At 40.7% G+C, this 15,663-nt stretch overlaps 1 long non-coding RNA gene and 1 pseudogene across 1 annotated transcript in view; both read left to right on the top strand.

The window, feature by feature from the left end:
* ZNF705CP (zinc finger protein 705C, pseudogene) lies at positions 2,907-10,402 on the top strand (annotated as a pseudogene).
* The window catches only part of FAM66A (family with sequence similarity 66 member A), a 48,983-nt gene continuing 43,883 nt past the window's right edge, over positions 10,564-15,663 (top strand). Inside the window, exon 1 of the long non-coding RNA NR_026789.1 lies at positions 10,564-11,107. This is a non-coding gene — a long non-coding RNA (family with sequence similarity 66 member A). The remainder of the gene's footprint in view (positions 11,108-15,663) is intronic.

The following is a 15,663-nucleotide window of genomic DNA, read 5'->3' on the forward strand; positions in this document are numbered from 1 at the left end:
AGGCAAAACAATATAGACATCAGCTATTTTTACTGAAGATCTGTTGGAGAACATGGTTTTGTTGTCCAGGAACTTGAGACCTAATACTGCATTCCTAATACTTCACTAACGTGTGTCTAAATAGCCGTGAAAGGGCTAAGAAGTCACAAGTTGGCCTCTTAATTTTTACGGGTGCCCTTAAAATATTAAGGTAATATTGAGGATGCAGAACGGCTCATTCCTCATGACTTTTTAAGAGATCTGGGCCGGGCACGGTGGCTTACGCCTGTAATCCCAACACTTTGAGAGGCGGAGGCTGGCGGATCACCTGAGGTCAGGAGTTCTAGACCAGCCCTACCAAAATGGAGAAACCCCGTCTCGACTAAAAATACAAAATTAGCCGAGCACGATGGCGCATGCTTGTCATCCTAGCTACTCAGGAGGCTGAGGCTGGAGAATTGCTTGAACCCAGGAGGTGGAGGTTGCGGTGAGCCGAGATCGCGCCACTGCACTCCAGCCTGGGCAACAGGAGTGAAACTCTACCAAAAAAAAAAAAAAAAAGAGAGAGAGAGAGACAACTGGAGGGAGATACTAAGCTGTGCAGGCTCTCATCTTGAAGTCACCAAATACATAAGTTGTTATTTCTGCTCTGGTGAAAAGTTTGTCAATACATTTTTTTTCCATGAATTAATGAAAATTTTAGACCTATAACATAAGTTTTTAAAAGTTTCTCCTAAAGATTGCTTGTGTATGTATGTGGTTTAAAATATATTTAATCTCTACATCTTGAAATCGTTTTGATAGATTCCACACAAGAGTCCTTTATGAAATAAGTATGCTTTAACTTTCTTATAATATTTATCCTTTTTTGTCCCTGGCACGGTCTGTATATGACCAGTTAAATTACTTTTAGTTCATGTTTGGGTTATAATTACACACAAATATTCTCTAAAGCCCAAATCTTATTTTGATATTCGAGGAAGAGTTTACATGGTAATAATATTAAGGGTTACAGCTGGTTACACTGAAGCTTTGTCGGCATTCTCTAATATCTTATTTTTTTGAAGGAATATCTGTTCTGCTTGAATTGTAGGCTACATAATACATGTACTGTCAGGTACATTCATGGAAGGGACAGGCAGATGGAGTCATATGTTACTGGAGTCTTGATGAACAGATGTAGAAAATAGTCCAAGGAATAAGAAAAAAGTTGATATTGAAAAGTGCTTGTTGAAGTCTGTAAATGTGCATTAAATGTGGCAGTAAAAATAGACACAATGATGTTTGGGAACTGGGGTCTAAATGCTGGAGTCCCCAGAATCATAGAGAACCTTGGTTAGGGGAGTAATTTTGTCAAAAAGCAAGAAGAGGCAGTGACAGGCAGAATATAATTAAAAGTATTGCTGGGCCATTTTCTAATTTTGTAATTTTGTCATATTATTCAAACCCTGTTGATCATTTATTAAATTGGTAAATAAATTATAATCAGCAGGATTATTATGAGGGTTAAATAAGGAAATATATGTACATCTGTAAGCACAATGTCACAATTAATACAAAGTTACCCTTTTTATTTTTCCTGGACTTCATGTACAAATGGGTCAGTAAATTTTTTGTTTATGACACATAATTATCACTTGCACATAAAATATATTTAATTATTTTTATATTTTTAGCAAGGAAATAATACATGCATGTTTCCCCCTGTCTCAAACACATACACTCATATAAACATATGCACCTATATACCTACATATCTATGTACGAATATATACATGGACATGGGTATTTCTCAGCAAATATGTATCATGATAATCACAGATATTGCAGCTAACAAAGACTAATATAAACCATGATTGCAAGAATTTTAGATACCACGTTAGTGAAACATCAGATTGAGCTGCTAAATTTCTCCCACCCCTATGTCATTTTGTATTTTCTGAGCATCCTAGACGATTGTGACTGTATACACAGGACAGAAACACCATGACTCAGGGTACTCCTGCTAATTTCCGATGCAGGAGATTTTAAGGGCTAGATTAGCAGGATGGGAGTGTTGACCCTCTAAGTGAAATAAATCCCTCAATTCATTATCCCCATCCTAAAACAGATTTTTTTTTTTTTTGAGACAGAGTCTCACTCTGTCGCCATCGCTGGAGTGCAGTGGTGGGATCTCAGCTCACTGTAATCTCTGCCTCCTGGGTTCAAGAGATTCTCCTGCTTCAGCTTCCTGAGTAGCTGGGATTACAGGCAAGCACCACCATACCCAGTTAATTTTTGTGTTTTTAGTAAAGATGGGGTTTCACCATGTTGGCCAGGCTAGTCTCGAACCCTTGACCTCAGGTGATCCACCTGCCTTGGCCTCCCAAAGTGCTGGGATTACAGGCGTGAGCCACCGCACTCGACCCTAAAACAGATTCTTACTTGATTATTTCCACGTTCCAAGGGGAAATACAAAAGTCAGAGTTGAGTGAAAATAAAAGTGGAGTAAGGCTTCAGAAGGCTGTGGTGGGTGTTGGAGAAACGTTGCTAGGGCATAAAGCTAGGATAATAAAATCTGAGAAATCCCAGTGTTTATCTATAGGTGGAAATCATATTCCACATGTGGATGGAGTCAGGGATCCCTGTGTTTTAAAATCAGTGAGGGAATTGAATATCTGGACTTGTGCCAATTAACATACAAAACTCCGTGCTTTTGATGTTCTCATTCACAAGATATCTGTGTTCCTTGTTTATTAGCAACCATAGTCATAGGCTTCCTAATTTTGACCACGGGAAAAGAGGAGAGGCCTCTGCGTGTTTGTGTCTGTTGGTTAGGCTGTGGTGCAGCTGGTGTCACACTTCAGTGAAAGTCTGGCTTTTCATCACAGGTTGATCTGAAAATTGTGCACAAGACTGGTGTCTCACATGTTCTTTCTCCAACCTCAGCTTTTCTTAGTGCCTAAAGTGTCTGCAAGTGGAAATCCAGAGGAAGACAGAGAGAAACTGAGTTCCTGACAATGCATTCACTAGTGAGTAGGGGATGCCTCTTTCTACTGAAATTATACCCATATTGCTGGCAAATGGGCAGTTTTCTCCAATTTGCATGGGTGTTTCATTTTTATTCTTTTTTTGTTTGTTTTTATGATGTAAAATCCACCCAGCCTGGGTGTTCCAAATGCAGTCAGGAGGCTTTCAGGTATCTGGCCTCCAATTAAGTTTTCTCAGGACTCTAGGTTGGGTATCGTGTGTCAAAGACTCCTAAATTATCAATATAATTTCTAATATTACACTACTTTATTCCAGCCCTTATTAAGACTATTTACAAAAAAAGATATGAGAGGTTTCATTTATATATTTCTTTTTCTTCTATCCATCCTATAATCTCATAGGGAAATAATTGACCCATTAACTGTACTGTTGGCTGAAATAGACTTAGGATTGTGATGAATGCAGACGACAGAGATGAGTGAAGAGCAGAACATCACAGCCCAACAATGAGTCTGATGTTCTAGCAGCTGAGTTCAATAAATCCAGTGTGATAGGACTTGGGCAAGAGCTGTGCAGTGTTGAGGGAAAAGAAGAGTTTTATAAAATATATTTGAGCTTTTAAAAACTTTGTGAAAGGACAACTAAAGAAGTCATTACTATTCTTATCCCCATTCATTTTACCTTTTGGTAATTAACTTTTTTGCCTTCTGGTAAGTGAAAGTAACATATAGGAAATATAATTATTTAATTATGGTTGCACACTCAGAAGAAGGAATATAGTAGATAGAGTACAATTTAGGGTTCTGTGGAAATGCTTTATAAGGGCTGGTTACAAAAAAAAAACAATGAAGAGGCTTTCTTAATCTTTGAACAAGTGAAGTGAGAAGGTCAATTTAAAAGAGAAACAATGATAACTGATGTTTGGACTGCCGAGAGAAAGTTGAGAACAGGAGGCTTCATATCACAGGAATCATCGAACTAAGATTTCCTCAGTATGTCAGCCTCAGCAGTCTTGTCTTGTGCTGCTAGACTGTCTTCAAGCCTTTTCATGAACACCTGAATTATATAACATTAGAGAGACTATATGTATGAATTGAATCCTATATTCTGCATAAAGCGTTCAGTTCTGAAGAATGCTGGAGTCTGGTTCATTACTTTCTAACTTTTGAATGAATAAGGGACCAATGACTTATATTTAATAAATATTTGCTAAGTAGGAAACACATTTTCTATTAGTTCATTAGATTATTCAAAACACATCATTGGTCTTTTAACCATTTGATTGGGGAGAAACCTGTCTTTCATCTAGAGAAATAATTTATTTCATCGCAGTCATGTTTAAAAAGTAGTAAATCATGGTTATTTGCCTTGTGACAAATCTGTAATTTACTTGAAATTCATGGTAAATTTCATTTTATTTATGAATGTTCAAGTGAAAATTTTATAAGCAGTTATGTAGAGGTGATTAAGACATTACTGAAAAATATCTGGGTTATATTATGCCACACCTCATGCAATATTTCTTTATAGTAAAGTTTAATGGATTCAGAGTGGGTATATCTCTGTGAGTGAATCTGAAAGGCAGATACCAGCTTAGTACTGAGAATGAACTGGCTGGAACCAAAAACACTGAGTATTCTGCATACCCAGCTCCTAGCTATATCATCTCAGCCTTCCTCTTCCGGACATTGAAAGGGATTTCTCTGTCTAAACTAAAATGTCTGTGATGTTTTAGGAGAAAGTGACTTTTGAAGATGTAGCTATTGACTTCACCCAGGAAGAGTGGGACATGATGGACACATCCAAGAGAAAGCTGTACAGAGATGTGATGCTGGAAAATATCAGTCACCTGGTGTCCCTCGGTGAGTCCCTCAACATTCACGTACATATGTAGACACACATTCGCTCATTCATTCAATAAGTGTTAGAACAGCTTCCCCATATCTCACTCTAATCTCTTCTCTGATTCTCTCACAGATCTCATCTGAAAAAAGTTTGAACTCTCTAAATCTATCTTAAATAAATATCTTTCTTTTTATTTTATTTTATTTAGTTTGTCACTCAATTAGAATGTAATCTTGACAAGTATTTCATGGTGTCTTTGGTACTCAGTCTCTAATACTCATAACAGACCTGGGAACATAATGAATATTTTCAATGTATTAAATTAAATACTCTCTAAATAACTCTTCTGCTTTAGTCTATGCTTAGGCTGAGACCAATTAGTGAAAACAATAGCAATATCTTTTCTATATAGAACACCAATTATTTTTGTAAATCGAATGTTTTTTTTTGTTCTGCGTGAGAATAATAATAAACACAATGTGCAGAGATTTAATTACTCTCTTTCTGAAAAGATTGTGTATTATGCATTGTGTCTTGGAACTTAGGCATGGACTCAGCATTCATAGGTCCTGACTGTTTTGAATTTCCTTTTCCTGATGGCCCTTTGGTTTGGATTTATTTTCTAGTCTCAAGTTGGGTCAGAAAAATCCTGGGGAGTTTTCTGTGTTCTAGGTCTTGTGGCCTGAGCTGACCTTCACTGTTTTTATTCTTCCTTGATAGCCTGCCTTACACTTGGTGATAATGCACATTTATTGACAGTGAACTCAAAACACATGTATTCTTTCCACTAACAGGGTACCAGATAAGCAAATCCTATATAATTTTGCAGCTGGAGCAAGGAAAAGAGCTGTGGCGGGAAGGAAGAGTATTTCTTCAAGACCAGAATCCAGGTAAGCAACAGGGTCCTGTGTCCTAATAGGAGGAGGTGCTTTCTCAATGAATAATATCAGTTGAATATTAATTAGTGGTTTTATTAAATGAGTGATAATTTCTAAAATGTAGGTTAGGCTACTGGAGCAGAATTCCTTAGATGTTATTATCATTTTGTTCATGTGTCAGATGTTACTCTTGTGTCCTCTTTTTTTTCTTTTCTTTTACTTTTGGGAAAAAGACAATTCATGTACTTGGCTGGGGTTAAACTTTCATATGCTGACCCTTTCCCTGATACCCCTGTGAAGACTATCCCTCTATTTACTTGCCTGATATCTCATCTCCATTTTAACTCTTTTCACATTTTAATTTTAAAAATCTTTTCTAATTGCTGACACTGTACAATCTATTTCTTCTATTCAAGTAGTTTCTTCATTTGACACACTTGCCACATCTAAGTGTCAATTTTTGAAAAAAAGTAAATGGGCCTTGGGGCTTTTCAAACAATTTTATTACCATAATACCAATGTAACAATTTATTTTTCAATTATTTCAGACAGGGAAAGTGCCCTTAAGAAAAAACACATGATATCCATGCATCCTATCATCAGAAAAGACGCATCCACCAGTATGACAATGGTAAGTTTTATAGCTGTGTACACCAGTCATCTAAGTTAAAGATATGGTAATGGGTTAAGTTAATAATGAAGCACAATCACCTGAGTGTAATTAGGCTGGCATTAAGTGCTTTCTAAGCAAAGAAAAAAACTGGAGACTTTGAATTTAGTGAATACATTGACCTCTGTTCTAAATCATAACATGAGATCTCTAAAATAGAGCAAGTGCATATACATTGCTCATGCCCAGACATTGAAAGATATTGATATCATCACAATTATGCAATAACTCTGCAGTTGAGATCTTACAGAAGAGAACATACCTGTGTCTGCAGGAGATAATGTGTATGCAAATGTCAATCGAGAAAAATGACAAGTCTCAATCATTTTAGGAGATTTATTTGCCAAAGTTAAGGACATGCACCCAGGGGACAGGTGTATGCCTTTCTCCAAAGATGATTTTGAAGGCTCCAAATTCAAAGGGGAAAGGCTGGGATATTGAGAAGTACACAATTTTCATGTAAAAGGTGGGTAGAAAAAATAGTCATTCATGCATTTTTCTGGCTCAGTGAATCTGGATTTTTTTACATAACATGACATAAACAAATGAGGCAGAGGAATAATGCAGGAAAGCTGCATTTTACATAAGACAACATAGGCAAAATGGGGGCAGGGAAACAATCAGATATGCATTTGTGTCTGGTGAACTTGGGATGACTGCACCTGTAAAGACAAGTTATCAGTTTGCATTGCCGTGGTGTAATTTTAACAGCTCATGAGGAATTTCCTTGTGGGCAAAATATGGGGGAGGCATGTAGCTTTTCATCTTGTAGTCATATTATTTAGGAACCAGAAGGGGGAGGCAGGTTTGTGTGACCCAGTTCCCAGCTTGATTTTTCCCTTTGGTTAAATGAGTTTGGGGTCCCAAAATTTAATTTCCTTTCACACAAGAAACATTGGAAAGATTTCAACTGGGGTCTACCACTGAATGGTTGGTCTAGGATTCAAAGGTAGTGAAATTAATGTATAGATATATGTGGGTAAACCATTAAGAGCTTTTAATCTTTGTCCCAAAGGAGAACTCTCATTCTGGAGGATCCTTTTGAATATAATGATTCGGGAGAAGATTGCACTCACAGTTCCACAATAACTCAGTGTTTGTTAACTCACAGTAGAAAGAAACCCTATGTCAGCAAACAGTGTGGAAAATCCCTTCGTAATCTTTTGTCCCCTAAACCACGTAAACAAATTCATACTAAAGGTAAATCATATCAATGTAATCTATGTGAAAAGGCCTATACTAATTGCTTTTACCTTAGACGGCACAAGATGACTCACACTGGAGAGAGGCCATATGCATGTCATCTATGTGGAAAAGCCTTCACTCAGTGTTCTCACCTTAGAAGACATGAGAAAACTCACACGGGAGAGAGACCATATAAGTGTCATCAGTGTGGGAAAGCCTTTATTCAATCCTTTAACCTTCGAAGACATGAGAGAACTCACCTTGGACAAAAGTGTTATGAATGTGATAAAAGTGGGAAAGCCTTTAGTCAAAGCTCTGGCTTTAGAGGAAACAAAATAATTCACATTGGAGAGAAACCTCATGCTTGTCTTCTATGTGGGAAGGCCTTCAGTCTGTCTTCCGACCTTAGATGACATGAGAGAACACGCACTGGAGAAAAGCCATATGAATGCCATTTATGTGGGAAAGCCTTCAGTCAATGTACTAATATTAAAAAGCATCAGAAAATTCACCCTGGAGAGAAAATTATAAACTTCTTCAGAACATATTCGGACTTTAGATGACACAGTGTTAGGAATGACGAAGGTAAGGAATGTGGAAGAGACTTCAGCTGTAGTTGTAGCATCTAAACATGCCAAAGGACTCACATTTTGAAGAAATACTGTAATCAACATGGAAGATACTTCAGTTGCCTTTATTCTTCAGCCCACATCAATAAATTCATATGGAAGAGAAATTGTATGACATGTATGTACCAAAGACTTGTTAGTGATCTGAGCATAAATGACATGAGAGAGCTGAAACTGTCAGCATAATCAACTAAAAGTCTTCAGCAACAGCTTTAACTTAAAACATGTGGGACTTTCAGGTAGAGAATCTCTAACTCTGCATTCAGTGTGAAAATGTTTTTATTTGCAATTTATTGTCAAATAACATGAGAAAACTTTACTTGGATGAACCCTTTATTTGTATTTTTCTGTGAATGAACATTCAGCCAAGCACCAGGCTTGATGTTCACAAGAGAAGAGTGACAAAATGCTGCTAAAATGGAAAATAAGAGAGGAAAGCCTTCATAAGCTAAATAACAAGGGAAAGTCTTTCCAAGGGCAATGAATTCTCTTGGAATACCAAATACTTCTTACTGGAGAAGTTATGCAATGAAAAATCATGAGAAATCCTTTCTTCATAGAGCAACACATGTGGCACATGTGAGATTTCACACTGGACAAAACAGGGTTAGCATCTTGAAAGAAGAAAATTCTTTAGTGGTAATTCATTTCTTAGTTGACATTAAGTTTCTCACGTTGAGGAGCTATCAAACTTGAAAATCACTGTGGAGAAACCTGATAGATTTCTCATCAGAAAAGTGAGTCAAGAAGGTGGACCTCTAGAAAAAACTCTTAACACATACTTTAGCAAAATAATTCAGAAATTTGAGAAAATATCTATTCATAAAAATGTGGCATGTAAATGCATAATAGCAAAGTGACCAAGGAATAAATTGAATGCAGAATTATATAAGAAATCTCATTAAACTTTTCCAAAAGAGCAATACTTACAAATATTGAAAGAATACAATCTGTTGTTGAAAAAACTTAGTATGTTGGTGAAGCCCTTGTTTCATTTATGCAGCCCTAACAAACTGATTTGCATCTGAACTCCTTGGGTGAGATTCTTGGTGGAGATTCTACCCCAACTTCTGAGTCTCCCCAGTCTTCAACAGCTCTTTCCTCACAGCTCACCTCCCTTTACTTCAACGTCCACCAAAACCACTTGTTTCCATCCAACCCTCGAGTTGACACACCAGGGATCTTCAGCCCCACTTGCTAGATTTCTCAGTTTGTCATTGCATAGATTTAGCAGGGAAATGGAGGCTGTATCAAAGACCCCTAGTATATGCATTTGGGTGTCCCCAGCTCTTGCCTCTGTCTCTGAGCAGTTACCTGGGATCAGAGAATAAGGCAGCTCTTCTCTTCTATCCCTCAGAAGGCTCTTGAAATTTTGTCCCTGGAGCCTCTCTAACTGGAAGTAGCAGTTCATCTCATGACACCCCACATTTTATTCAGGTGAGTCCTGAGTTATTACACAGAGACAGACACAGCTGTGCTCCTTTTACTGCAGTCCAGAAGATAAAACACCAGCATGATAAAACAGCCGAACCTGTCAGCCACCTTGCAAGCCTTTTCTATATTTGATTCAATGTACTTTTCCCGAAGCAAAATGAAAGTTCTCACAGAGGGGCCCTCCTCTGCCTTGTCCTCAGAATTGGAAAATGTATTGTCCGTGAAGGAGCCTCACCACTGAACCTAAAACTCAAGAGAAAATGTTTCCTGAATATCAAGTGGGATGACTTGAAATTTTGTCAAACAGGCAGAATCTTAATACGATCGGCCTTACTAAGGCTAAATGGCCTTATCCATGGTTGAAATTGACACATCATCATATTAAAAAATCTCCACGAGTGATTGATTTTACTCTGCAGCCAGGGTTTATGTCAAGTGTGAGGATAATGAGCAAGAAATTCAAGCCCTTGGCAAACTGGTTGGAGAGGCAAGGACTGTGTCCAGGCAGAGCTCATATCATTATTTATTGTTTAATCTATTTAATTAAATATGTAATTTACCCACAAACTGTGGCTGACATTATATGTACTCCTGAGCCACATTAAGATGTACTATTTGTGCTGTGAAATTCTATGGGATTTGACAAATGCATGGTGGCAGATCTCCAGCCATTATTAAAGCGTAACACAGAATGCTTCTCTTATTCAAGCTCGTCTTCCCTCCACATAGAGGGAATCAATCGACTTTTGTATACTGATTTTTGAATTTGCTTCTTTATTTCCATCTTCTTTAATTAAAGCACAAGATATCGTACTCAATTTCCATTTGATCTTCCAAAAGAAAGTACTGAATAATCCACACCTGAATTTCAGTGATTCAGACTCAGGTCCACCGCTAAGACCAAACGTCCTGTGCTGCCACCTCATGGCCGGCAGAGGGCAATGAAACCCACCTTTCCGGCCATGCAGGGCGCATGCGCGGTCTGCCTCCCGCGGCGGGCCGGGTCTCCAGGGAGGACCTGAGTTTTCTTCACCCATTGTCAGGGAGGCGCCATCGCCCTGGCTTTGGGGCTGGGGCCTCCGGGGAGGTTCCGGTAGGGGCGTTGGAGAGGCCGCTCTTTTTGCAAGGCCCGAGACGGCGGGCCCTGCGCAGGCCGCCCTATTCCGCGCCCTCAGGGCGTCAGTATCAGCCTGAGGCTGGATACCCCCGCTGGGCCCGGATGACCCCGCTGGGCCCGGAGCATCCTCCGGCGCTGCCCTCCCAGAGCCACGCAGAGGCTGAGGTGGCGCGGGGGCGGCCCCGGCTCCGCGAGAAGCGGCGGCAGCGAGGGCTGGAGGACCCGGGCTGCGGGGCTCCGGGGCGTCTGGCCTGGGTGGGACTGAGCCCATCCAGGGACTGGGACTCTGGGATTCTGGTGTAGGTGGATCCGGGGCAGGCTCAGGACCAAGTCCCTCTCCTTCCACCAAGGAGCGCCCAGAGGCCGGCGGGAGCTCCAGGTTCACCTCCTCCTCCTCCAGGTGTTTACTTTTCCTTTATTTCTGTGAGGCCAGAAATTGTCGCCATCCTTCACATCGGTGAATCGGGACCCTAACACTCATTACCTCAGGTTTATTGTTATTGCCATTAACAGTGTTGGTGGCATTATCACTAAGATCATCATTGTTGTTATTATTGTCATTTATGATTATTAGCAGGTGTGTTCATCATTTTGTCTCACTATGCATTTTTTTTTTGTGGGGGGTGGGGGGATTGGTTTTGTATGACGTTGAATTGAGCGTCTTTAATCTTGACCAGTGTTGTCAGATTTCTGAAGAGCATTCCGGAGGACATCTCCTGCCTTTCAGCACAGCCACAGAATTTCGTGGGCACAGGAGAGCACCTAGAATATTCCCCTTTCATTGCACAGCAGCTTTGGGAAATAGTTACTGCTGGCTCTGAGATGAGGTAGAAAAGACTGGATACTGGGGCAAGTGTTAGCACCTCCACTGGTGTTTTTATGAAGCTAAGAGCACTGTCTCCCACGTAGACTTAGAATAAAATCTGATGGCTCTAAAGGGCCATGGCTGCCCTTCCTGGGACTTCCTGGGAACCTTTAAACCTTCTGTGGTTCCTGGAGTAGGTAGGTTGCCAAGTCTGTGCCTCATATGGTAGCACCAGTCTTTTCTGGGCCAACAAGGGCACTTAGAATGTTTCCAGAAGCTCAGGCGTGCTGTCTCTGTTCCTCCCTTCTGTTCAATGGCAATTCCCTGGGTCCCTGGCTGATATAGAACATCCTGCCGAAGGTTGGGCTTGGGTGACTTCCTGGCCAGCCTTCCCAGGCAGTCATCTTTGAAAACCTTGAAGAGACTCACAGAGGCTATTCACTGGTATTTCATGACTGCAAGTGGGGTTTCTGGATCCTTGAGTTTACTTAGAATATTTGAATGGCTCTGAATGGCCAAGAAACCCTCCCTGATCTTAGAAGCTGCCAAAAGCTATTACTGGGCCCTGAAGAGACTTTAAAATTTTTCCAAGTACATTTGGGCATAGGAAACTTTTCCGGGTCTAGCTGAGCCAGCTCAGGTTGAGTCCTGAAAAACTGGTGGGTACTGGGGGATCTCAACTTACGAAAGAGCAATTGGTGGCAAACCTGGGTCTCCAGGATAGCTGTGTGTGTATATGTCTGTAGCACATGCCTTGCAGTCATCTTTAGTAACTGAACACCATTTGTGAATGGATAAACTATATTCATTGCTGTACAATGATGAAAAATCCATATTAACAATGGCAGTAATAAAAATATTGATGGATATTAACAGGAATAATGATCATCATGATACTAGTACTAATGGTTTTAATACTGATAATAATACTAACCCTATGGACTTGGGACATATAAGTTTTCCATAAGTGGATAATAGGCATAAATATTTGGCTGTGTAGGGTTACTTCAAGTCCCAAAAAGCAAGGATGAACATCTAGAACGAGAAGAAAAACAATCTGGAGGTTAGTATGTGCACACCTGGGGACTCCTGTGTTAACTTCTGGTGTTTCAGCCTAAGAGGGAATGTTAATATAACCCTGGTCCTGGAACACCATGCTGACCAACACCTATCAGCTTTCAGGAGATAAGACAGCTGGCTGATGGGGCAGGGATCCAGAGAAGGCACGGGTCCACACCTGCACATGTTGCCCAGTGGCAGAGTTCATGACAAGCAATAAGCCCCAGGACAATGTCATTCCCAGCCACCTGGCTGTCATCTGCTCTTTCATGGCCCCTCTCTACTGGTACCTCTAGGCACTGGCATGTCCTCCAGAGGCTGCAGGAGGGCATGATACTCAGTACTCTCCCACCTGCAGGAGGCAAGAAAGATGGAAACAGCTAAATACCACGGCTTCTGGATTTTTTTTGGTGGGCATGGCATATTTTGCATTTGCTTTAATAGTGGTGGAACCCAGTCAGTAGCTTGCAATACAGATCTAGATGACTCTGGACACCTGTAGAGATTTTGACAATTTCCAGAAGGTCACAAGTTCTTGGAGGACTTTTTCATGAGTTCTTTGACTGAAAAGATGGTTCAAAGAGCTTCTATACTGACTTAGAAAATGTTGCAGAGGCCAGGTGCGGTGGCTTATGCCTGTAATCCCAGCACTTCGGGAGGCCAAGGCAGGCGGATCATGAGGTCAGGAGTTTGAGACCAGTCTGACTAACATGGTGAAACCCCTCTCTACTAAAACTACAAAAATTAGCCGGGCGTGGTGACACGCACCTATAATCCCAGCTACTCGGGAGGCTGAGGCAGGAGAATCGCTTGAACCTGGGAGTTGGAGGTTGCAGCGAGCCAAGATGGCGACACTGGACTCCAACCTGAGCGACGGAGAGACATTTTATCTCAATAAATAAATAAATAAATAAATAAATAAATAAAATAAAAAGGAAGAAAAAAGAAAATTCACAGACACTCTGGTGAACAGGTAGGCCCTCTCCTGCCACTCCAGGTAAAAGTTTCTTGGCCACAAACCTGATTTGGCAATATCCCTTCATCTTAGGTGGGTAACAGAAAGCCATTCATGACCTATCCAAGCATGGAGAGGGGATTTGACTTAGAAAACTGTTACGTGGACTAGTTGGTGAAAGAAAGTGCATTCTAGGACTCACAGGCCTACACACAGAGTTGCTATCAGATAAAGCCGATGTATGAACTCTTTCTGAGCCCATGGCAAGATGAGGGTGCACTTCATCAGTCTCTTATGCTGGTATGAATAGGTACTTGCCTGAAAAATAAAAGAATAATTCAGGAAGCCCATTCTTCTACAGGACACCAGGCAGTACAGTAGGAGTCCTGGGGTTGCTGTGGTATTTATGTTTTAAGGTTGTCTTTTAATCATCTTCAGCAAATTCAACAGTCTTCAGGAACATAAAAAAATTTTTCAACATTACATAAAAATGACCACAAATATATCCATGATAAAGAACTGTACCAATATAATAACATTAATAACAATCATAATGGTGATGATATGTCAATTTAATGAAGAGAGTAATAAAAAGCAGATATTTAAGAACATATTCCTGTAAGCCTGTGACAATGTTCCCATATGAGCCCTCATGTTATTGATTAGATGGGGAAGCTTAGGGCTACATCTTGAAATATATTCTGTGAAGGCAAAGAAGAGTGGCAGTACGGAGAATTATTCTGAGCCACATGAGAGCATGGGCAAAAGTGGAGATACCTGTGCCATGTGGAAATACATTACAAATGGACTATGGCAAAGGGTCTGGCCAGAGTCTTGCCTGACACAGCTCGTACAAAAGCCTTCAGTAGTGCACCCCAAGAAATAGCTGGTCCAGGCTGTAGATGAGAGGCACTGGGCAGACAGATCCATACCCACCTCCTGAGTCTCAGAAGTCTGGTGTGCATGGAACATTAAGCCCCTAGCCTACTGAAACTTCACCTCCCAGCTGGTCTTGTACCATCTGATTCTTGAGCCCCATCATGTTAGTGTCATCTCCATACTGGAATTGCCAACAATGTCTGATGGAGGGTTTCACCCTGGGTACTTGGTACCAGCAATGTATGAAATACCAGAAGGGAGGCTCCAGGGCTTCCATAGAAGACACATTCTAAAGTTACTCAGGTGATCAAATGGTCATCTCAGAGATTTTCAGTAGAACTGCAGCATTTTGTCAATACCTGAGTGAATGCAGAAACTATCCAGAGGCACGGGCATTCTAGGAAGCTCCCTGTGTAAATCAAATACAAGGAATATCTACTTCTGGGCTCAAAATCTAACTTAGAGAAAAAAAAATTGAAGTGCTGGCAGAAGACAAATAACTCCACTTCAGTTCTCAAGAGAAAAATGGTTCTGTAACCTCTGAGTTTATTTAGAAAAATTTTGGAGCCTCAGGAAGACCGAGTATATCATTCCTGATGTTTCCAGGACAGATTGGACTGCTTAGGCCTTTGGGAATATTCTAAGTCCTCTCGGGTTTCCATGGGAGACTGTAACTCTACTCCTAGAGCTCACACCACCCCTGAGCAAGCTCATTGTTTTCTAAATATTCCAAGGAAGCCCATTCAGGGTATGTCTGTATTGGTGAGTTTCACTTTGGACTGGCAGGAGAAGACTGAGAATGATACATCCTGAGTTCACTTGGTAAAGGTAGGGTAGCCAAGAAGTCCAGATCTGGAGAGCACCTGAAACACCAGATGGCAGAAGGACAGTAAGGAGGTAAAGTCAGCTATGGAGTTGGAGCTTCATGTTTACTGCATGTAGGATTCTGAGTTCCAGGACTGATGGGCTGGTGGGGATCAGAGACGTGTCTTCCTTGCAGGGAGCCAGGCCAAACCAACCATCTGGTTGCACTACTGAAAGCTTTTGTGTGCCCAGTGGTGGGCAGGACACAAATCACAGTCCCTTCACCTCTGGCTGGTAGTTCTTGATGAGAGAGGTTTGCACACAAATGTTCATATTAGCCCATGGTCTCCTGCGGCTTGCTTTTCTTTCACCTCCTGTTTTTGATGTTTGCCATCATGGAACACATTTCATAGAGAAATTCTTTGACTCTGACTCCAAATTACACAAGGAGGAC

Source organism: Homo sapiens, chromosome 8 (genome assembly GCF_000001405.40).
Source record: "Homo sapiens chromosome 8, GRCh38.p14 Primary Assembly".
NCBI classification, from domain to species: Eukaryota; Metazoa; Chordata; class Mammalia; order Primates; family Hominidae; genus Homo; species Homo sapiens.